General features: G+C 40.4%; 1 protein-coding gene across 1 annotated transcript in view; it reads right to left on the bottom strand.

Annotated features, from left to right (window-relative positions):
* Positions 1 to 2,636: 2,636 nt before the first annotated feature.
* Positions 2,637 to 23,010, bottom strand: part of STMND1 (stathmin domain containing 1) — a 29,329-nt gene continuing 8,955 nt past the window's right edge. Inside the window, exons 2-5 of the mRNA NM_001190766.2 lie at positions 18,876 to 19,053; positions 13,257 to 13,408; positions 4,772 to 4,903; positions 2,637 to 3,421 (exon numbers count right to left, since the gene is read on the bottom strand). Coding sequence (NP_001177695.1) covers positions 3,134 to 3,421; positions 4,772 to 4,903; positions 13,257 to 13,408; positions 18,876 to 19,053 — 750 coding nt within the window. The 3' untranslated portion in view covers positions 2,637 to 3,133. The remainder of the gene's footprint in view (positions 3,422 to 4,771; positions 4,904 to 13,256; positions 13,409 to 18,875; positions 19,054 to 23,010) is intronic.

Raw genomic sequence — 23,010 nt, 5'->3', positions numbered from 1 at the left:
ATTTTTAAAATTTATTTTTTCTTTATTTTAGTCTGACTGGGTTGATTTGAAAGACCAACCTTTAAAGTCTGAAATTCTTTCTTCTGCTTTGTTCAGTTTATTGATAAAGCTTTCAGTTGTATTTGAAATTCTTTGAGTTTTTCAATTTCAGAAGCTCTGATTGATTTCTTTTAAGATGTTCATCACTTCCTTTATTTTCTGGATTGCTTTAGAAGTTTCTTTGTACCACTTTTCAATCTTGTCCTGTATCTCATTGAGCTTCCTTGCAATCCATGCTTTGAATTCTTTATCTGTATTTCTGAGTTTCCGTTTTATTTAGAAACCATTGCTGGAGAGCTAGTGCAATCCTTTGGTTTGTCACTATATTCAGATTTTTCATGGCACAGAATCTTTGTGCTGGTTCCTTCTCATCTGGAGATACTGGCACTTCTAATTTGTGTTATTATTTTCCTGAAGATAGGGTTTTTTCTTTTTCTTTGTTTTCCTATAATATTGTGTTTTTTTCTTTCCATTTCCTTCCCCCCTTCTCCCTGTACAGTTCCTGTTACTGTAGAGGAACTGTACTGTACCCCAACAGGGTAGGGTCTTTTGGCTTTGCTTCTATATAGCCCTATGCATTTCTTTCAGCAGGTTTTATATTGGGCTGTGCAGTTTGACCTACAAGCCCTTAGATGGCACTTATAGGTAGGAGCCAGCCAATATGGCTGTGTATATACTTGATCTTTGTTTGTTGCAGAAGCTCTCTGTTGCCTTAGGCAATGGGGTGATTTGTGGAATTCACAGTGGTCTGAGCTCCCCTATGCAGCCCTGGAGGGGGCAGGGGCAGGGGCCATGATGGGTGGGGCCAGACCAGGCAGGTTTGCCTGCACATTCCCTAGTGGCAGACACAAGCACAAGCTCTGAGGGATAATCTAGTGGGTGGCCACCAAGCATCCAGAGTTGTGCCTAGGTGTGGAGCTGGGAAACCTCCTCAGTCCCAAGTTTTCTGCACAGGGATGGGAGTTAGCCCAAATTCCTAATGCAGGAGATTAGGTGCCCCAGATGCCTGAAGATCTGCCTGGGAGTAGAGCAGAGAGGGCCCCTCTGCACCAAGATCTCTGCACAGGAAGGGTGGGGTGATTCAGGCTGCTGTTCCAGGTGAGTGGGTGTTCCGAATGCCTGGAGAGCTGTCTGGGCATGGAGTGGACAGGGCACCCCTGAATCAAGATATCTGCATAGAAGGGGTGGGACAACTCAGTCTGCTGAACCAGGCAAGCAGTTACACAGTATCTTTAAACACATTATTTCATCTGATTCAACTCTGTGACAGTGGCTATCCCAAATTAACATGTAAGGTAATTGAGACACAGAGAGCCTGCATGCCTCAGGGTCACATTGTAAGAAGTAGACTGACTCTAAAGGTTTCGGCTTTCCAGTGAGTTTTGAAGAAGCCCCTCAACCCCCTTCTGCCACCACCATCATACCTCACTGGCTGTAGGTGTTTGAAGTCCTATAGGCTATACAAACACATACAACAGAGGTCCCCAACCTTTTTGGCACCAGGGACTGGTTTCGTGGAAGACAATTTTCCCATGAATGTCGGGGAGGGGGTGTGGATAGTTTCAAGATGATTCCAGTGCATTACATTTATTGTGCACTTTATTTCTCTTCTTATTACACTGTTATATATAATGAGATAATTATACAACTCACCATAATGTAGAATCAGTGGGAGCCCTGAGCTTGTTTTCCTGCAACTAGATGGTCCCATCTGAGGTGATGGGAGACAGTGACATCTGAAATGCGTTGCTTATGTCCAGTCTACTCCATAATCTCATTTTGTTTGCTGTCACTGCAGAAAACCCTGCTGCACAAAGATGGGATGCTAGAAATGGAAGCAGGCTTTTCAGTGCTTTTGTGGCGATGTCAGGATATTCCGCCTGGACTTTAATTCAGAACATATGGAGATTTGAAGTTGCCTCAAACATACTTTTAAGGCCACCAGATGCAGCTGTACGATTCAAGAACATCAACTCACTTGCCACTCTAAAGCCTGCCACCAGATACAGCTTCATTGTCACTTGCCACTCACTGATTTTTGATATGTGTTTGCAAGCAAATGAGGTGGGTGGATTGCTTGAGCTCAGAAGTTTGAGACCAGCCTGGGCAACATGACGAAACCCCGTCTCTATAAAAAATTAGCCAGGTGTGGTGATGCATGCCTGTAGTCCTAGCTATTTGAGGATCTGAGGTGGGAGGATCGCTTGAGCCCCAGGAGGTCAAGGCTGCAGTGAGCCAAGATCATGTCACTGTACTCCAGCCTGGGTGACAAAGTGAGACCCTGTCTCCAAAAAAAAAAAAAAGCATCTAGAATCATAAGACCAGATAATTGATTGGATGTGAGTGGTAAGGGAGGGAAGAACCAAGGTATAATTCAATAAGATGAGGACCAGCAGCTTCTCAGCTCAGCATGTCTGCAGGGAAGACAGACACTGGTAGCAGGGCTGACTCCCAGTCTACCCGCACCCTCACAACTTCCTTCCATCCCTAGCCTCAACTGAAGTTCTTCTGTTTTCACAAGAAGAAAACTCTATGTAATTCTGAGAATTAGATATTGCTAACTTAAACTATGTGGATAAAACTGTAATTCAGCCAACTTCAAGACATTGCTTTATTCCTTCACAACACAGAGAAAAAAATTATAAAACCATAGACATACAGCATAAAAAACATATAAGCCATTAAAATACTTAATACAAATCCATGCAATTTGTTTTAAAGGAGCAGCAGAGGATGGACCCCGCCACAAGGCAGGAGTAAACAGGAAGGATTTCATTTGGCACGAACTTATTAATGTAAACTGAAGGCACTTATAAATGAATTAAAGACATCTCCATAATGTTTGAAGCCACACAAAGGAGAGTGCCAAATATCTATGCTGGTCAAGTCTCCCCCTCGCTCTTTTTTTAAAAGCTAGCATAGCTACTTAATTTACTCAACTAACCTTCAGCCTGTGCAGCCCACACAATCATCCTTAAGCCCAAGGCAGAAATCCCAGTGGAATGAGGTCAGTCAGTCAAAGAATATGAGACATACTACAAATGTCACAAATGGGGAGAATGAATGCTTTCTTATGAAATTCACAAAAAATGGCTTAGTAGACTATGTCATCTGCTTGGTTGTAGGACATGTCTGACTCCACGACCCCAAAACTTTCATCACTTTCGTTTCTATCAATCAAGGTTGCATCACATTTACTCTTCTTCCTCTTCAATGGTTTTCCTCCCTGCAGGTCAGATGGTTCAAATCCAGCAGACCTCACCCTTTGAAGTCCTTTGGCAAATGCAACCTCGGCCCCATCTAATTCAGCTGAATCTGAGTGATTGGCTGAAGGCAAAAGTCGGTCACTCCGTAGCCTTTTTCTTATTTCTTCTTCTTTAGTCTGAAATGCAGTATTAAAGAATGAAAAAGAGCGTGAATAACTTTCTCCAAGTTGTGATTAATGTTGCTTGTATTGAACATTCATGGCTTCTCTATGTCATCATTCAGTCAAATAACAGACATTTGTTGAGAAACTCTTGTTGAAGAAGGCAGACACGGGGCCTGCCCTCATGGAGCTTGGAGTCTGGTCCTTGCTCTCTGATAGGCCAATTAGAGAGCTGGGAAATGAAGGCTGTCAGACCCAGCTGTGAAGGCTGGGTCTGGCCAAGGGCGCGTGGAGGGCTGTGGGGGCCCTTGGTGAAAATGCAGCAGGAGTAATGCAGCCTGATGCTCTGCAGCAGCTTCTCTCAGTTTAACGCCGCACCTCAACCCTGCCTTTACTCCTGCCCCCAGCCTCAACTGAAGTTTCTCTTTTTCCATATGAAGAACACTCCGTACTTCATTTAATTCCAAGAACTGGATGTTGCTTACTTAGGCTATATGGATGAAACCGTAGTTTTCACCCAACCTGCTTTATTCCTTTACAACAGAAAGGAAATTTTTAAGAAAAACCACGAAACATATAGCATATAATAAAAAGCATAAAGATCGTTAAAATCCTAGCTACAGGCCAGGCACAGAGGCTGATGTCTGTAATCCCAACACTTTGGGAGACCAAGGCAGGAGAATCATTTGAGGCCAGAAATTTAAGACCAGCCTGGGCTACATAATGAGACCCCATCTCTAAACAATTTTTTTTTTCTTTTTTTTGGAGACGGGGTCTCATTCTGTCACCCAGGCTGGGGTGCAGTGGCACAATCTCGGCTCACGGCAAGCTCTGCCTCCCGGGTTCACGCCATTCTCCTGCCTCAGCCTCCCGAGTAGCTGGGACTACAGGCGCCCGCCACCACGCCCGGCTAATTTTTTGTATTTTTAGTAGAGACGGGGTTTCACCGTGTTAGCCAGGATGGTCTCAATCTCCTGACCTCGTGATCCGCCTGCCTCGGCCTCCCAAAGTGCTGGGATTACAGGCGTGAGCCACCGCGCCTGGCCAACAATTTTTTTTTTTTTTTTAAATCAGCCTCATGTAGTGGTATGGGCCTGTAGTCCTAGCTACTCAGGAGGCGGAGACAGGGGGACCGCTTGAGCCCAAAAGTTCAAGATTGCAGTGAGCTCTGAGCATGCCACTGTACTCCAGCCTGGGCAACATAGTGAGACTTTGTCTTTTAAAAAAATTAGTAAAATAATAAAAAAAATACTGATTATAGATCCATGCAGTTTGTCTTAAAACTGCTGATAGGAAAGCTCTGGGGTGAGATCATTTTAACAGACAGCGAACTCCTCAAGCCTAGAGCATCTGAGAGCTCACTACCTTCCTGCGCTCCTCGGCAGCCTCCATCTTCTCCTCGATGTCCTTCATTGTGAAATCCTTCACTTGCTTTTTGATCTTGAGTTTTTTCAGTCTGGAAGGTGGCTTTCTCAATGGCTTCTCAGTCGTAGTCAACTGGAATAAAACATCTTTTTACATGAAGAAACAATCATATTCACTGGCAGAAGAGAAGGGCAAAAGAGTTAGAATAAACAGTTTAAAATGTAAATTCTAGTCTGGGTGCAGTGGCTCATGCCTGTAATCCCGGCACTTTGGGAGGCCAAGGTGGGAAGACTGCTTGAGCTCCGGAGTTTGAGGCCAGCCTGGGCAACATAGTGAAACCTTGTCTCTACAAAAATACAAAAAATTAGCCAGGCATGGTGGTGTGTGCCCGTAGTCCCAGCTACTTGGGAGGCTGAGGGTGGAGGATCGCTTGAGCCCAGGAGGTGGAGGTTGCAGTGAGCCAAGATCGTTCCACTGCACTCCAGCCTTGGCAACAGAGCGAGACCCTGTCTCTAAATAAATAAATAAATAAATGAATAAAGTAAATTCTAAAAATCTAACTTTCCAGGCGCAGATTAAAAAAACCAACGTGAAAGTTGATAACAACAGAATTATAACGATAAGATCTTTTAGATGCCTTAAAAGCACCAGGCTATTACAAAAAGGCCCTATGAATGCAGGTGTTCTCAGACTGCATAGAAGATGAACCCTTAGAAGGAAAAAATCTTGAGAATGAATATAAGATGAAAAGCAGTGGAGAATGGGGGTGAATTTGTAGTTTAAGGTGAAGAGTTCAACCTGATGATTTTATAATATTCCACAAGCTACAAGTTACTTTCATCTGGGATAGAGATTAGTTCTCATTGCTTCTGGTTTTGTGGTAGAAAGAGATAATTAACGATTACTGAACAACAACTCTGTTCTGGGCTTTGCTGGAGGAACTTGACAAACATTTTCATGACAGCGGGGGAAAAATCCCACTTCATATGATCAACTACCCTTTCAACAGTTCAAAGCAGTAATGATGACTTTCTAATTATAATTTCTAGTTCCAAAATAAGTAAAATTGTCATAAAGTATTTATGAAGAAAGTTTTAAGGTGTTTTGTTTTAAAAATTAGTTTTAAGATAATATAGATTGATTATAAAAAATATAACTGATACATAAATCATCTCCTTATCCTCTATTTAACCACATGGCCCCCAATCCCAGTCCTTAGCATGAACCTTTGTAAAGAGTTCAGTGTGTGTCTTCCCAGATATCTACTCTGCACATATATATGTTAAGGATATCTGTAATGTTAAACAAAACCTAAATGGAGTTATACTATATACACTGCTCTGCAATTAACTTTCTTCAATTAACTTAATATGGACATCTTTCTATATAAATATAGATTTATTACAACTGGGTGGGGGTAGTTAACTCCAAGGCTGCATTACAAAATGAACTGAATATTGTTCCAGATAATTTCTCTAAAGACTTTTTTTAAAGACAAAGGAGCTATTAATATTCATTGTAATTTCTAAAAGACTGTTTCTCCAGACTATAATGCTATAGGTACCAAGAAAATAAATCAAAGAGAGGCAGTTTAGCAGAGTAAAACAAGGCACCAGACGGAGACTTAGTCAGCCCTGGGTTTGAATCCTGGCTGGGCTATGGAATGACGGGTTTTTTTGTTTTTGTTTTTTGTTGAGACCTAGTCTTGCCCTGTCACCCAGGCTGGAGTGCATTGACACGATCTTGGCTCACTGCAACCTCCGCCTCCCGGGTTCAAGCGATTCACCTGCCTCAGCCTCCCAAGTAGCTGGGATTACAGGTGTGTGCCACCACGCCCAGCTAATTTTTGTATTTTTAGTAGAGACGGGGTTTCACCATGTTGGCCAGGCTGGTCTTGAACTCCTGACCTCAGGTGTTCCACCTGCCTCAGCCTCCCAAAGTGCTGGGATTACAGGCGTGAGCCTCCACGCCCAGCGTGTGCATTGACTCTCTATGATTCCTTAAACTCTGCAAGCTATGGTTTCCTCATTTGTAAAATAAGTTTAATAACATATATTTTGGGATTGGTTTTAAAAAAGAAAGAAAAGGATAAAGTAGCCACTCTGCAAATGATAGCTACTTTTCATTCAGTCAAAGCAGTGACTTCTTCCAAAGGCAGAACACAAACTCATAACCAGGACAAAGCGGAAAGGGGCGAAAGCACAGAGGGGAGGAAGGAGAGCCTACAGCCGGGGGGATCATCAGGCAGCAGGCATGAGCTTCAACTCTGGGGCGGCAGGAATGCCCAGCACATAGTGGAGACCCAGGCAGCTCTTCTCTTTGGACTCAATTTTCTCAACTGTGAAGCAGCAAGGGGCAAGAGGCCTGTGAAGCTTCCTTTCAGCTTTAAAATCTATGATTCTCAGGAAGTCTCCTAAAGAAAAAACATTTATTGACATTTTGGCTCCTTTAGAACCATTGGACGGTTTATGGGGTGCAAAGTTTTTCACTGCTTGAAAACCGTGGAATGTTTGTCAAAGGAAGTTCCCTCTCCCATCATCATTTTGTATTATTTTTATGACAATTGGCTCCTAAGTTTCCTGCTGGCAAAGACCACCCGCTGAAAAGAGGGAAATACTTGCTACGGTGGCTCAACTAGAGATACTGTGAAATTAGCAAGAAAATGATTTTTTAGGGATGTTCATGCGTAGAAGGCTAAAAGAAAATTAAGTAGTAATCCAAGATCCACTAAAGAAATGCCAGATTAGGCTATACATAGGAGCCTGAACCTTGACTAAAATTCTGAGATCAGTAGTTCTGAGAGAGCTTGGATTTTTCTGTTTTGGTCACCTCTTCCCGTGGCTTAATCTTAAAATGATCCTCCCCACAGAGGAAGTTAATCCTACCTGTGCAAGCCATGTTCTTTCTTGAGTTCCATATTTTAAGTAAAAAAATAAAAAACCTGTAGAAAGATATCTGTATTCTTTACAACTGAATTTTATGAAGTCAGAATTTATCAAATGTTGGAACTTAAAAACGTTAACAATGAGCTGGGCGCAGTGGCTCACGCTGTAATCCCAGCACTTTGGGAGGCCAAGGCAGGTGGATCACTTGAGTTCAGAAATTCAAGACCAGCCTGGGCAATGTAGTCAGACCCTGTCTCTTTAAAAAAAAAAAAAAAAAAAAAAAAAAAATATATATATATATATATATATATATATATATATATAAAACAATGATCACCTTATGCTTAGAGAGGTGTTACCAGTGGAAACAACAACACATTGACAACAACAAAATCAACCTACAGAAGTTACCAGTTCAATCATTTTCTTAAAGAATACTTTCAGAGGACTGCCAAGTTCAAAATGCTGCAATTAGATTAGAGTCCTGTTTCTAGCTACTAACTTGTATATTTTACTTCTTACATACACTGTGTATTCCTCAGAGCTTTCTTAATTAACTATTGACCTACGGATGAACCTGTCTTCATTTTGTTTCCTTAAAGGAGTCTTGTGGATAGAATAGGCCAATCCTGCAAAACAGCCCTTCATTCTTGTTTTATCACTGTTAGACCTCCTGGGGAAGGTCACTCCGATCATTAGCTGGCGTTATTGAGTCCTAACTCAGTCAACTTCCTCCTCCTTAAAAAATTCTCCAGGAGGTTCAACAAATAATGGTAGAGACTCTTATGCAATGTGAACAAACTCTCCAAGTACACTTCAGGTTCCCAAGTATAGAAGTCACACAGAGAAGGGAATAAACTTTGACCAGACACAGAGGTCAATAGTGAATTCACAGAGCCTCAGGTAGGGAGACCCAGGATGTGCTAAGTGGCGGGGAGAAATGAATTTGGGATAAAAGACGAACTCAATAATACCTATGTGGATAAATGAGAGCCAATCACATCTCTCTAAAGAGGTCTATACCTATCCATATACATATCGACATGTGTACGTAAAACCAATGTTTGTTTACAATATAGTCAGTTAAGTCTAATTAGAATGTTTAAAAATACACTGAAAGATTCCCTCAACAATCTGATACTTACCTTCTTAATCTTATATTTCTTACATATCACTTTAACTCTTAATTTTTTTTTTTTTTTTTTGTAGAAATGGCATCTTACCATGTTGCCCAGGCTGGTCTTGAACACCTGGCCTCAAGGGACGCTCCCAGCTGAGCCTCGTAAAGCCCTAGGATTACAAATGTGAGCCACCATGCCTAGCACATTTAACTTTTTTTTTTTTTAATTGGGTTTTTTGTTTGACAGGGTCTCGCTGTTTCACCCAGGCTGGAGTGCAGTGGTATAATCAAGGCTTATTGCAGCCTCGAACTTCCAGGCTCAAGTGATCCTCCAACCTCAGCCTCCTAAGTAGCTGTAACTACAGGTGCACACCACCATGCCCAGCTAATTTTTTTTTTTTTTGGTAGAGATGGGGTTTTACCATGTTGCCCAGGGTGATCTCAAACTCCTGGGCTCAAGCCATCTGCCTGTCTTGGTCTCCCAAAGTGCTGGGATTACAGGCATAAGCCATCTTGCCCAGCCTGATTTTAACTCTTAAGTAAACATAAAATATTCTCGCATAAACATCTCGAAAGCTGGTTATCCAGAGAGTACTATGGAATTACTGTGGTATTCACCAGCAAGATTATGATGAAAATTAAGAAAAAAGACAAAGGGGCCTCTGTGGTGGACACAGATCCTCCCCTTACCTCTAGGGAGATACTGGCTTATGGGGGATGCCCCCGATTCGGAAGAGGGACCTTCATGAGGGACCTTCATGAAGGTGAACCCTCAATTTTCAACATCCTTTATTCAATTTCACTCTAAATAACTCAATGAAAGATAATGACCTGGCTAAGAAGCAGCCAGATCTAAGTCTGAAATGCCCTTGTATGTAAATATACTATTGGCCCACATAAGAAGTCTTATTTTTAAACTATTCTCTTTGGCTGCTTGGCTAGTTCTGCTGGTAGAGCATGAGACTCAAAGTATTTTCACATTTATTCTATTTTTCCCATAATATTTTATTTAAAAGAATGTTATTCCCTAGAGCAGTGAAGAAATAATATTTACATGTCTGTTAAGATTTACCACATTGTAGTAACTGCTGACATAATAATATCTTTGTTTTGACTATCCCTTTTTTGTTTCCCTTGACTTCTTGTTTTGTTTTTAGCCAGTTTGATCAGTCTGGGTTTGAAAAAACTTATTAAACATTAGATATTCAAAGTATTAATATTATTAATGATTAATATTATCTAATAATATTTCCATTCTTAATATGGTTCCCCTCTCAGTCCTTCAATATTCATTCTCATCTTTTTACATTGGCCTCATAACTCTTCCCAAAATATGCAAGACACCTGGTGTCTGACACACATATGTTCTCAGCTACCTCTGAATTGAAAGAAGTTTTATCCGTGACACAGAAACTGCATCTCTTTTATTTCCTTAGGCTTCCTGAGTATAATCTTAGTTCCTATTCCTGAAATGGTATATTTTCAGGAATATTTCAGAATTCTCTTTCACAATGAATAGGGAATCAAGAATGATTTCAAAAGCTTTAACCCTTCCCAGCTTTGGTAATGGATTTGAGAGCGTTGTGTAGAGTTTTGGTGAAACTTCACGGCAGTAGTTCTCAACCGGGCTGCCCATGGGAATCACCTGGGAGCTTTCAGAAGTGTGAAAGCAGGGCCACACGCCCAGGCTGTGTGGTCGGAAGTGGTACCTAGGCACTGGGATGTTTGAAATATCCCCAGGTGACTCCAATGTACCGGCGGGTTAAGGACCACTGGATTAGGCGATGAAACAAGAGAGCTGTGTGTTGCTGCCTGGTCTGTTGCAAGCCTGGCTTATGTTGGGATATCTTGGCCTAATACCAAAGCCAAAAAAACAAAATTGTGCTATTCCTGAAGGCTGTCACATTTAAATCCTTTTGAGAACGTTCCCAACAACCATTCTATATGCCTACATAGTATGAAAAATAGTCTTCATCTTTGGTTCACTTAATGATGTTATTAAAAGTCCAGCCCACAGTTATTATTTTTTTAAAGGTGCATCTCTTTCACAAGGTAGTTTATATTAATTAACCTTGCAGGCTCCATTGCAAAGTCTAAGTCAGAACTCATTCATCTCTGGCAATTGAATCACGGAGAATGTTTTAATGTGATTCCTACTGGTGTATGTATGTAGACATCGAAGTGTCTATAGCATTTCCCTTAAGAAGACATTGCTTAGCTACTGAATGTTTCCACAATCTATCTGCCTCCTCTCAGACTTGCTTTCCTTTTTCTTTTGACATGCCTTCTTTTTTCCTGACCCCTACAGACTCACCTACAGCTAGAAAAAAATCTTTCCTCTCCCCTTTGATATTAAAAACCCATCCCTTCTTCTAGCACTTTCAAATAAGATAAGGCACTCCAAAATGCCTTGTATCATGCTAGCGTTGTGCAAATGTAAATTGTCATTATGTTGGCATTATCTTTTCCATTATATAATCCATTTTTACCTTCCTTTCCATCCTCCCCCCGCCCCCCGACATCCTCTTATTATTGGCAGCCTGATAATGTTATTCACAAGGTTTGGCAATCTCCTTTCCTTTCCCCCAAATACTTTCTGCAGGATTTATTTTCCTTTTTCAAAAGAAAATGCCACTTTGGCTTTTATTCATGAGTTCTCAACATTCCCCATACACAAAGAAGGAAATTAACTTTATTCAAACATTAAGTGACTCAGTCTAGGTGGCAAATTTGATTTAAATAATGAGTTTTTAATTCCGAATGGACTGTTTTCCCTACAACACAGGGATAGACAACCATTAAGTAGCCTTTGGGGTAATTTCTGGTCTCTATTTCCACCGTTTCCTTTTCTTTCTTTTCTTTTTCATTCATTTATTCTCTGGCTTCTTTTCATTGTTATTTCTTTTTTTTTCGCTTTCTCTCTTCTGCCTGTACTTCAAGGACTACTGGTAGTGCTTGGGAGCATTGGCTTAAAAAAAAACCCAAACAAACAAGAAAACAAAACAAAATAACAGCAACACCTAAGTCTGCTATCTTCTTCACAGGTTTATGCAGAATTTATTTAAAAATTTAGAACTCGGTCAGATGCAGTGGCTCACACCTGTAATCCCAAAACTTTGGGAGGCTGAGGCAGGTGGATTACGAGGTCAGGAGTTCAACACCATCCTGGTCAAGATGGTGAAATCCTGTCTCTACTAAAAATACAAAAATTAGCTGGACTTGATGGTGGGCACCTGTAACCCCAGCTGCCTAGGAGGCTGAGGCAGGAGAATCGCTTGAACCCAGGAGGCAGAGGTTGCAGTGAGCCAGGATCGTGCCACTGCACTCTAGCCTGGGTGACAAAGCAAGACTCCATCTCAAAAAAAAAAAAAAAAATTTAGAACTCTAGACTTTAGCCAAGCTAGTTAAAACCAGAGTAAAAATATTATTCACGCTGAAGAAAAACTATGACAGATTAATCAGGATAAATTAACAAAGAAAAATAATAGTACAGCAATTTCTGAAATTCTATTTAATTCCTCATGTTTGATTTTGGGGTGTGCATATGGATAAATGTATAGCCATATTTGTTTTAGCTTTGGCATTTAGTCCTATTTATTTTCTTTTTTAAAGTTTTACTTTATTTTTAATGGACACATAATTGTATATATTTATAGGGCACAGTATGATGTTTTGATACATGCGTAATGATCAAGTCAGGGTAATTAGCATATCCATCACCTCAAACACTTGTCAGGCCTATTTTCTTACTGAATAAATCAGATTCAGTTTTACATTTCTAATGCCCTGTACAATGCCTATTACATAGGTAGTGCTCAAGAAAAATTGTCAAAAGAATGAAAGTATGTTATTCAGTGGGGCCTATTGTTTCTCAAATTTAGTGAAACCCAATACGTGTTTTACTGGATCAATTAATCATTAATAATTGGAGCAATTTCTGAGTCCACAAAGAAGGGTGGTGTATTAGTCTGTTCTCACATTTCTATAAGGAAATACCTGAGACTGGGTAATTTATAAAGAAAAGAGGTTTAATTGATTCAGAGTTCTACATGGCTGGGAAGGCCTCAGGAAACTTACAATCATGGTGGAAGGCACCTCTTCACAAGGTGGTAGGAGAGAGAATGAGTGCAAGCAGGGAAAATGCCAGACACTTATAAAACCATCAGATTTTGTGAGACTCACTCACTATCATGTGAACAGCATAGGGGAAACCACCTCCATGATTCAATTACCTCCACCTGGTCCCGCCCTTGACACCTGAGGATTACAATTCAAGGTGAGATTTGGGTGGGAGCACAGAACCAAACCATATGAGATGGTGTGCAGAGATGTGGGGGGAATTTAAGGGAGAAAAATCTGACTTAAATAAATGCTGTTATCTGTATTGTAACTTGCATATGCTGGAAATAATGACTCATGATCAATCATATTCTATTGCTAATTTTAACTATAAGCTAATGTTAATTACAAAATTACTTGCCGTGACATCATATGATTCTCCATTTCTAAATACTTTGCTGTGGCTTTGTATAATTCCTTGAACAATTAGTTCCTCCAGGATATCTGATGACTTCTGTCGCTCTCGACTCTCTAGGGATTGGGGTTTATTGATTAATCCATTGGTCACTAGGTCTTCCAAAAAAGAAGAAAAGAAAAAAGAAAGCAAAATTTAAGAATGAAGATTTTTTCAATCAAATGCTAAACGGATGCCTTCTAAACCATGCTACTTAATTAGATCTTAGTTTCAACACTTAATATATTTCTATTATAAGTCTTTGTGATCCTTTGAAGTTCAAATTATTCATTTTCTTACAGAGGATACACATCAACATAATATACTGTTTACTTAGCAGATCACATATTAAGATAACAAAAAGCCTTTCTGTGTGCTGCTGTGGACTGCCTTTTTATTGTAACAACACTTATACACTTGGGTACGACAACGTTGGTTTGCTCGACCAATTATGAAGCTAAACCACAGCTAAGAATCAGATACTCTTGGTGATTCTTTGAGTTGTGGTTTGGTTTCCATGCTTTGTATACAAAGGATAAACAGCGTGATGTTGCCAAGAGACTTCTAGTTCTGCAACCCTAAGTTTATAATTACGCCATCTGCTAAGTCTACATAAGTAAAAGTACGCCTTTTTGAAAAGAGTCTTTGAACCAAATCAGAATTGCAGTTAGAGTGATATCAGCTAAATTTTTATTCATGATTCTAAAAATGAGCACTGAAACAGTTTATGGGGGAGTCTTTATAAGCTGCACTAATGAGAGAGGCTCCCCCATTACAAATCATCCAATTATATAAATACACAAATAAGCAGCCGAGTTTATGCCATCACATTATAAAATAAACGGCGCTGGCCTGTTGGGCCAAAGACAGTTTTGCTTTTCCTGTCAGTAACAGCGCAATGGGAAGTCCTGAGAAATGAGCTATCTTCTATGCTGACATCATCAGGAAGTCCTGATAGTAACCAAGTCCATTCCATTTAATGGATGGCATCTTCCCATAAAAATTTCTTTTCTTTTTTTTTTTTTGAGATGAGGTTTCACTCTTGTCACTCGGGCTGGAGTGCAATGGCGAGATCTCATCTCACTGCAACCTCCTCCTCCCAGGTTCAAGTGATTCTCCTGCCTCAGCCACCCAAGTAGCTGGGATTACAGGTGTGTGCCACCATGCCTAACTTTTATATTTTTAGTAGAGATGGGATTTCACCATGTTGGACAGGCTGGTCTCGAACTCCTGACCTCAGGTGATCTGCCTGTCTCGGCCTCCCGAAGTGCTGGGATTACAGGCATGAGCCACCTTGCCTGGTGAAAATTTCCAATCTCAATGGTTAGCAGTGAGACCTTTCATGAATTTGTGCTGGGAAGATAGAAAACATACACACAGACGCACACACACACACACTAATCAGATGCCTCTCACTTCAGCATATTAACCTCTCCAGTATAGGAGATTTATAGGATTGGCCACTGCAAGTAACTCCAACAGTTTTCCTCCTATCTTAGTATCTGTCCAGTGCTGTTTTTTCTACTCTTGCAAGTGTTTGTAATAGAGCCACTTTTCATTTTAAAGCGCTCTGTACAGATTTTGGCATGGGGTAGTAAAACATGTCATACGGGGAGGTCAACTAGAAACTTGAAACAATGGAGAAGATTTCAATGAAAAGGTCAGAGGTGAATCCCCTTCAAGGAATTGGAGTGATTTTTTGGTTAGAAGGTGGCCTTGTCTGGAAGGGTCAAAATAATAATAATGATCATTTACTAAGCACTTAGGCACCTGCACTATACTGAGTACTTGATACGCTGTATGACGTCAAATGCAAACATCAACTCTGAGAGTGCTGTTATTATCCCTATTTTAGAAATAAACACTGATGTGAGAGAAGCTAATTAACTTACTCAAGGTGACACAGGTAGCATGTGTGTTATCCAGGGCTACATCCAAGTCTGTTTGGCTCCAACACTCATACTCTCAACTGTCCCACTGTTCTCCTCCCAAATAGGTCATGTAAGCAGTTCCACTGTCAGTGGTTCATTTCTCTCCCAGGATGTTTCTAAAAGGAATGTCATGTTTGACATCTGTCGCTAACATAATAAAATTATTGTAACCATTCTGATCCATTCTTTTTGGAGTTCTCTAAAGTGTTTGGCTTGATATTTACAGCAGCTAACTTATACAGAGATTCCTGGAATATGTCAGTCATTTCAACTAATTTTCATGTTTTCTTGGGACATTGGAGAATATTGGGGATTGTTTAAAAACCATGTTGTGCTTCTTTTTGATTATAAAAGTGATAGTTACTGTAGTAAATTTAGAAAATACAGAAACTAGTAAAAGATTAAAAAAACGCCCATGCTTTCACCACCCAGAGATTACCATTGTTAATATACAAAATTTTATTTTTATAAGTTTGACATCATACTGAACATACAGTTTCATTTCCTATCTAGCTAACATTTATGTTAGCATTTTCTGATGTCATTGGAAACTCTTCATAAGCATAAGTGTAAAAAGTGAAATTATACAAGAAAACACGGGTGAATTTATCTTTAACCTTGGTGTAGGGAAAGACTTTCTAACTGTGACTCAAAATCCAAACTGAATTTTAAACATTTATAAATGTTACTAGATTAAAAATAAACTTTTGCATAGCAAAAACCCCATAAACATAATGAGTTGAATATAGATATAATGTACCTCCTAATTTGATGTATTAAGAAAGACACAATATCATTTTTGGTATTCTTGCTAAAATTGTGTAACCCTGGCTCATGCCTATAATCCCAGCACTTTGGGAGGCCAAGGCAGGTGGATCACCTGAGGTCAGGAGTTCAAGACCAGCCTGGCCAACATGGTGAAACTCCGTCTCTACTAAAAAAAAAAAAAAGCCAAGTGTGGTGGCAGGCACCTGTAATCCCAGCTAGTCGAGAGGCTGAGGCAGACAGAATTGCTTGCTTGAATCTGGGAGGCGGAGGTTGCAGTGAGCTGAGACTGCACCACTGCAATCCAGCTTGGGTGACAGAACAAGACTCTGTCTCCAAAAAAAAAAAAAAAAAAAAAAAAAGCGTAACCCAAATCCAATCAGGAGGAAAGCTCAAACAAACCCAAATTGATAAACATTCTGCAAAATAAATGTTTTCTGCTTTCCAAATATAGCAAGGTCATAAAAGACTAAGAAAAGCTGAGGAGTTGTTCAGATTAAAGAAGACTAAAGACCATAGATGACTAAATTAAACATGTGATCCTGGATTAGACAGATCCTGAATCAGAAATTCATTTATAAAGAGCAGTTGTGAGACAATTGACAAAATTTGAATATGATCTATAGATGAGATAATAGTACTACATCAGAGGTAATTTCCTGGCCGGGCATGGTGGCTCACACCTGTAATCCCAGCACTTTGAGAGGCCAAGGCGGGAGGAGCACCTGAAGTCAGGAGTTCGAGGCCAGACTGACCAATATGATGAAACCCCATCTCTGCTAAAAATACAAAAATTAGCCAGGCATGGTGGTGGGCGCCTGTAATCCCAGCTACTCAGGAGGCGGAGGCAGGAGAATTGCTTGAACCCAGGAGGCGGAGGTTGCAGTGAGTCGAGATGGCATCATTGCACTCCAGCCTGGGCAACAAGAGAAAAACTCCGTCTCAAAAAAAACAAACAAAAAAAAGGTAATTTCCCAATTTTGATCCTTGTATAGTGATTATGCAAAGAGTATCCTTGTTTTTAGGAAATACACACTGGAGTATGTGAAAGCGAAGTGGCATTATGTCTGTAACTTATTAACAGAAAAAAATCTGCTTGCATAAGGGGGGATATGATAATGCAATGTGGCAGAAGGTTAACATTTGGGGAATCTGAGTGAAATAATATAGGTGTTCTTTGTTTTTTGCACCTTTTCTTGACTCTGAAATTATACAAAATAAAAAGTTTTTTAAACAAGGAAACACTTGGGGAATGTTAGTGTGAAACTTGATAGTCTTAAGAAATATACTCTGCAGGTGCAGTGACTCATGCCTGTAATCTCAACACTTTGGGAGGCTGAGGCAGGTGGATCACTTGAGGTCAGGAGTTCGAGACCGGCCTGGCCAACATGGTGAAACCCCGTCTCTATTAAAAATACAAAAATTAGCTGGACATGGTGGCGCATGCCTGTAATCCCAGCTACTCAGAGGGCTGAGGCAGGAGTACTGCTTGAACCTGGGAGGCGGAGGTTGCAGTGAGCGGAGATTGCACCATTGCACTCCAGCCTGGGTGACAGAGCAAAACTCTGTCTCAAAAAAAAAAGAGGTATACTCTGCAGATTTGAAGAGCAGAGACACAAAAAGGAGGATGCCAAGGGCTGAGACATAGAGAGAAAACTGGGCAGAGGACAAATAGAAAGTTCAGGGTACTAGGTCCTACTCACTCTGTGGTAAGATGCTTCCTGAGGACTCCTTGACGCTGCATTTTAGGAACATCTGCTTTGGTGGCTGACTTCCTCCCTAGCTGTTCTCTCTCAACACCCTTCTGCTTACCTGTCACCCTCTTCATACCACCTTTAACATTGTACACACAGCTGGCAGCACTGACTGTTCTGGGTCACCAGGTCCCTGTCTGCCTGACGCTCTGCAGTCTGTGACCAACACTGATATTTAGCATTCATGTTGCTGTCTAGAGGGAAGTTGCATCAACAAAATTATTGGAAAGAAAAAAAATGTATTTGTCAACCTAACACATAGAAGGGAGGGAGAGTCCATTCCTGTGCTGCATTCCTCAACCTCCTAGTCATTCTCTGAGGTCACGCTGACTACAGCAAGGGGAGGGCGAATAGAAAATCTGTGATAACCTGAGTGTGCCAGGAAAGTTCAAGAAATAGAATCACATGTATGAACCCATCTGTTTTCCAATCCCAACTTGTACCTAGAGAAGAAATAACAGTGATGGGGAGCAAAAGTCTTCCCCCCTGAAATAAAAAGAGTACTTTTCCTTGAGGGCTGTGAAGTTCAATATGTTTCAAAGGCTGACCGAATATAAATAAGATGACTTAAATGGACACCAGGCGGTAACTCAAGTCAAGGGAAAACACACCATAGGAAAACCCACAAATAGTTTCTAAATAGCACAAGTAAATCATAACTACCTCTTTCACATTTCTGAAAGATTCTTTTGTTGTATATTTGCTGATACTTTGGATGGGAAAAGACAGGGAAAACAGTTTATTGTAGGTTTTATTTATTTTTGTAAATGTAGAACTTATCCTTGGAAAGATGTTATCATCGTGGGAGTTTAAATTCCTTTGAACTGTGCAAGTCCCATTCCTAAAGTCTGGCCTTAATTCCCAATAATGCCTCTTAGTTCTTTTTTTTTTTTTTTTTTTTTTAAAGATGGTCCTAATTACTTCATTGACAAGAAGATTAATGCTTAGCATTATTTACTCACATAATGAAGGCCTAAGGCTAAATTCTAATGTTTCAGAGACAAAAACACTGCCATTTAATGTACTTCATGGCCCAGAAAGCAATGATAAAAGGACCACCAAAGAAACCTTGTAAACGTATTTAGAGAAACAGTATTTTGTGAAGATCTACGTGAATGGGGGCAGAGGGAGGTTACCTGAATTTACTCGTCTGTTTCTTTCACTAGGAGATGGAGAATTTTCTGAAATGGTTCCAGGTAAGCTTCCCATCTGGACTTGTTCCAGGCCTTCTGCAATGTCCACAGTATTCTTGGTCAGAGCAGCTTCCATCCGGGGGCTGCAATTTTCCCCAGTATGAGGCACACTGACATCAGCCTGTGAAAAGGGAACAGTTTTGTTAGAGTCAAGATTTCTTGGTAAATAAAAACAATGTTGCAGGGTCTGCTTTGTGAATATTTAGCCAGCTAGTATCTGTGGTGGGCTGTATAGTAACCAGAAAGCCATAGATCGGGGTCCCCAACCCCCTGGGCCACATACCAGTACTGGTCCGTGGCCTGTTAGGAACTGGGCTGCAGAGCGGGAGGTGAGGAGTGGGCTAGCCAGCGAAGCTTCATCTTTATTTACAGCTGCTCCTCATCACTCACATTACCCCCAGAGCTCCGCCTCCTGTCAGATCAGCAGTGACATTAGATTCTCATAGGAGCACAAAACCTATTGTGCACTGCACATGCGAGGGATCTAGGTTGCGTACTCCTTGTAAGAATCTAATGTGGCCGGGCGCAGTGGCTCACGCCTGTAATCCCAGCACTTTGGGAGGCTGAGGCGGGTGGATCACCTGAGGTCAGGAGTTCAAGACCAGCCTGCCCAACATGGTGAAACCCCATCTCTACTAAAAATACAAAAAATTAGCCAGGCATGGTGGCGGGTGCCTGTAATCTGAGCTACTCGGGAGGCTGAGGCAGGAGAATCGCTTGAACCCAGGGGGCAGAGGTTGCAGTGAGCCGAGATCATGCCACTGCACTTCAGCTTGTGCCACAAGGGTGAAACTCTGTCTCAAAAAAAAAAAAAAAAGAGAATCTAATGCCTGATAATCTGTCACTGTTTTCCATCACCCCTAGATAGGATTGTCTAGTTGCAGGAAGACAAGCTCAAGGCTCCCACTGATTCTACATTATGATGAGTTGTATAATTATTTCATTATATATTACAATGTAATAATAATAGAAATAAAGTACACAATAGATGTAATGCTGTAGAGTCATCCTGAAACCATCCCCACAACCCTAGTCCATGGAAAAACTGTCTTCCACAAAACTGGTCCCTGGTGCCAAAAAGGTTGGTGACTGCTGTTTGAAGCCACTAAATTTGTGTGAATTGGCTATAGCAGCAGTAGAAAACTAATATAGTATCTAATAGGCATCTACCAGGTAAAAGCTACTACGCTGAGCATTCTGGAGGATACCAAGATAGACAAGCTCAGCACTGAGTGTGAGAGTAGAGGTACTATGGTATTAAAACAATTTATAATAACGAAGCTATATTGTTTTTGCTGATTAAAAAAGTAATACAGGCTGGATGTGGTGGCTCATGCCTGTAACCCCAGAACTTTGGGAGGCTGGGGAGGGAGGATCTCTGGAGCCCAGGAGTTCGAGACCAGCCTGGGCAAGGTGGCGAAACCCCATCTCAAAAAAAAAAAAAAAAAGTGATGCAGACTTATTGTAAAAAATAATTACATAATATAAAAGAGAATTGCAATGATCAGTTTTATGTGTCAGCTGGGCTAGGCTATAGTAGCCAGTTATTCTGTCAAACACAAATCTTGGTGTTACTGTAAATGTAGTTTGTAGATGTGGTTAATATAAATAATGAATTGACTTTAAGTAAAGGAGATTACCCTTGATAATCTGGGTAGGTCTCATCCAGTCAATTGAAAGGCTTCAAGAGTAGAACTGAGGTCTTCCTGAGGAAGAGGAGATTTGCCTGTGAACGGCAGCTTCAACTCCAGTCTGTTCTTTTCGACTGCCTGCCCTATCCTATGGATTTTGATTTTCCTAGCCAGCCTTCATGACTGTATCAGCCAATTCCTTACAATTTACCTATCTACCTATCTATCCATCTGTCTATCCTACTGGTTCTTTCCCTCTGGTAGAACGTTGATTGATAGAGAAACACAGTAGAAAATAAGAAATTATATCTTCTAGACAGAAGCACTACTAACATTTTAGTATATCATTGCCCAGATGTGTTTGCTCACATAACCTTTAAAAATAAATTGGAACTGGCCAATAAGCACACAAGAAGATGTTCAATATTATTAATCAGTAGGGGAATGCAAATCAAAACTACAGTGAGATACCACTTCATATACCCTAGGATAACTATAATGAAAACGACACACAATAACAAGTGTTGGTGAGGATGTGGAGAAATTGGAACCCTCATATATTGCTGGGCAAATGTGAAATGGTGCAGCTCTTTAGAAAACACTTTGAAAGCTCTTCAAAAATTAAACATAGAGTTAACCATGTGACCCAGAAATTTCTTTTTCTCTTTTTTTTTTGAGACGGAGTCTCCCTCTGTCGCCCAGGCTGGAGTACAGTGGCGCAATCTCGGCTCACTGCAAGCTCTGCCTCCCGGGTTCACGCCATTCTCCTGCCTCAGCCTCCTGAGTAGCTGGGACTACAGGCACCTGCCACCACGTCTGGCTAATTTTTTGTATTTTTAGTAGAGACGGAGTTTCACCGTGTTAGCCAGGATGGTCTCAATCTGCTGACCTTGTGATCCACCCGCCTCGGCCTCTCAAAGTGCTGGGATTACAGGCGTGAGCCATCATGCCTGGCCCAGAAATTTCACCCCTAAGTATGTACCCAAGCAAAATAAAAACATCTGTTCTTGCAAAAAAACTGCACACAAATATTCACAATTATTATTTATAATACCCCAAAAGTGGAAATAATCCAAGTGTCCATCAGATGATGAATGTATAAATAAAATGTGGTACAGTCATCCAAAGGAATATTATTTGGCAAGAAAAAGAAATTAAACACTGACATACGTTGCAACATAGATGATACTTGGAAATATTATGCTAAGTGAAAAAAGCCAATCACAAAGGCCATTCATATTGAGAATAGGCAAATTTATAGAAACAGAAGATAGATTTATTGATTGCTTAGGGTGGGGGAACGAGGATTGACTATCAATGGGTAGCCATTTCTTTGAAGAGGGCAAAATTGTTCTAAAATTACATTGTGGTAATGGCTGTCAATTGTACATTTTAAATGGATGCTATGATTTGAATGTGTCCCTTTCAAATTCAGGTGTTACCAATGTGATAATATTAACAGGTAGGACCTTTGAGAGTTGATTAGGCCATGCGGGATACTCCCTCATTAATGGGATTAAGGTGTTTATAAACAGAAGCTTCACACAGCTTCAGCTAACTTGCTCTGCTTTTCTGCCATGTGAGGACACAGAAGGGCAGCCCTCACCAGATAATCAAACCTTCCATTGCCTTGATCTTGGACTTCCTATGAGAAAGAAATTTCTGTATTTTAAAATTTACCCCTTCCATGGTATTCTGTTGTAGCAGCACAAACAGACTAAGACAGTAGGTGAATCATGTGAATTATATTTTAATAAAGCTGTTTTAAAAATAATAAAAAGAATTACATACTAAATTATATTATATTTCTGTAACCTGCTTAACAATATATAAGAAACACTTACCTATGTCAACATACATAGGTCTACCTCGCTCTATTTAGTGATAAGGAGTAGCTACTTATCTGATGATGGCATTGGAGCTCATTATGTAACTATGCCACAATGTATTTAACCAAGTCCTACTGAAGGACATGTAGGTGTTTCTAACTTTTCAATATTATAAACTGTGTTGGAATAATATCTGTGAATATACATCACTGTGAACCCGTGAACCCATCCAATCATTCCATGAGAATACATTCCTGGATGTGGATATGCTGGGTCTAAGGATATGCACATTTTATATTAATATGTGTTTCCAGAAGGCCCTCGATAAATACTGCACTAATTTATAATCCCACCTTCTCCTTTCAAGGGAGTCTGTTTCTTCAAACCACAGTTCCATTGCTTGTAAATAGGTCAAAACAAAGCATAAAAATGGCCTCTAGGTGATTTAGTAAACCACTGACGACAAAATGCTGGTCCGTGTTAAATTTTTCACAGTTCCATAGCAAAACAAGAACAATGTAATGAGTTTTTCACAAAGCTGAATTAATTCAATTTAAAGAACTGTCATTTATTTTTAGAGTAAGTAAATTTTAAATGCTAATGTGTTCAGAAAAACTT

Source organism: Homo sapiens, chromosome 6, assembly GCF_000001405.40.
Source record: "Homo sapiens chromosome 6, GRCh38.p14 Primary Assembly".
NCBI classification, from domain to species: domain Eukaryota; kingdom Metazoa; phylum Chordata; class Mammalia; order Primates; family Hominidae; genus Homo; species Homo sapiens.
The sequence above is the reverse complement of the archived record's forward strand: the minus strand, read 5'-3'. Positions and strand labels throughout refer to the sequence as shown.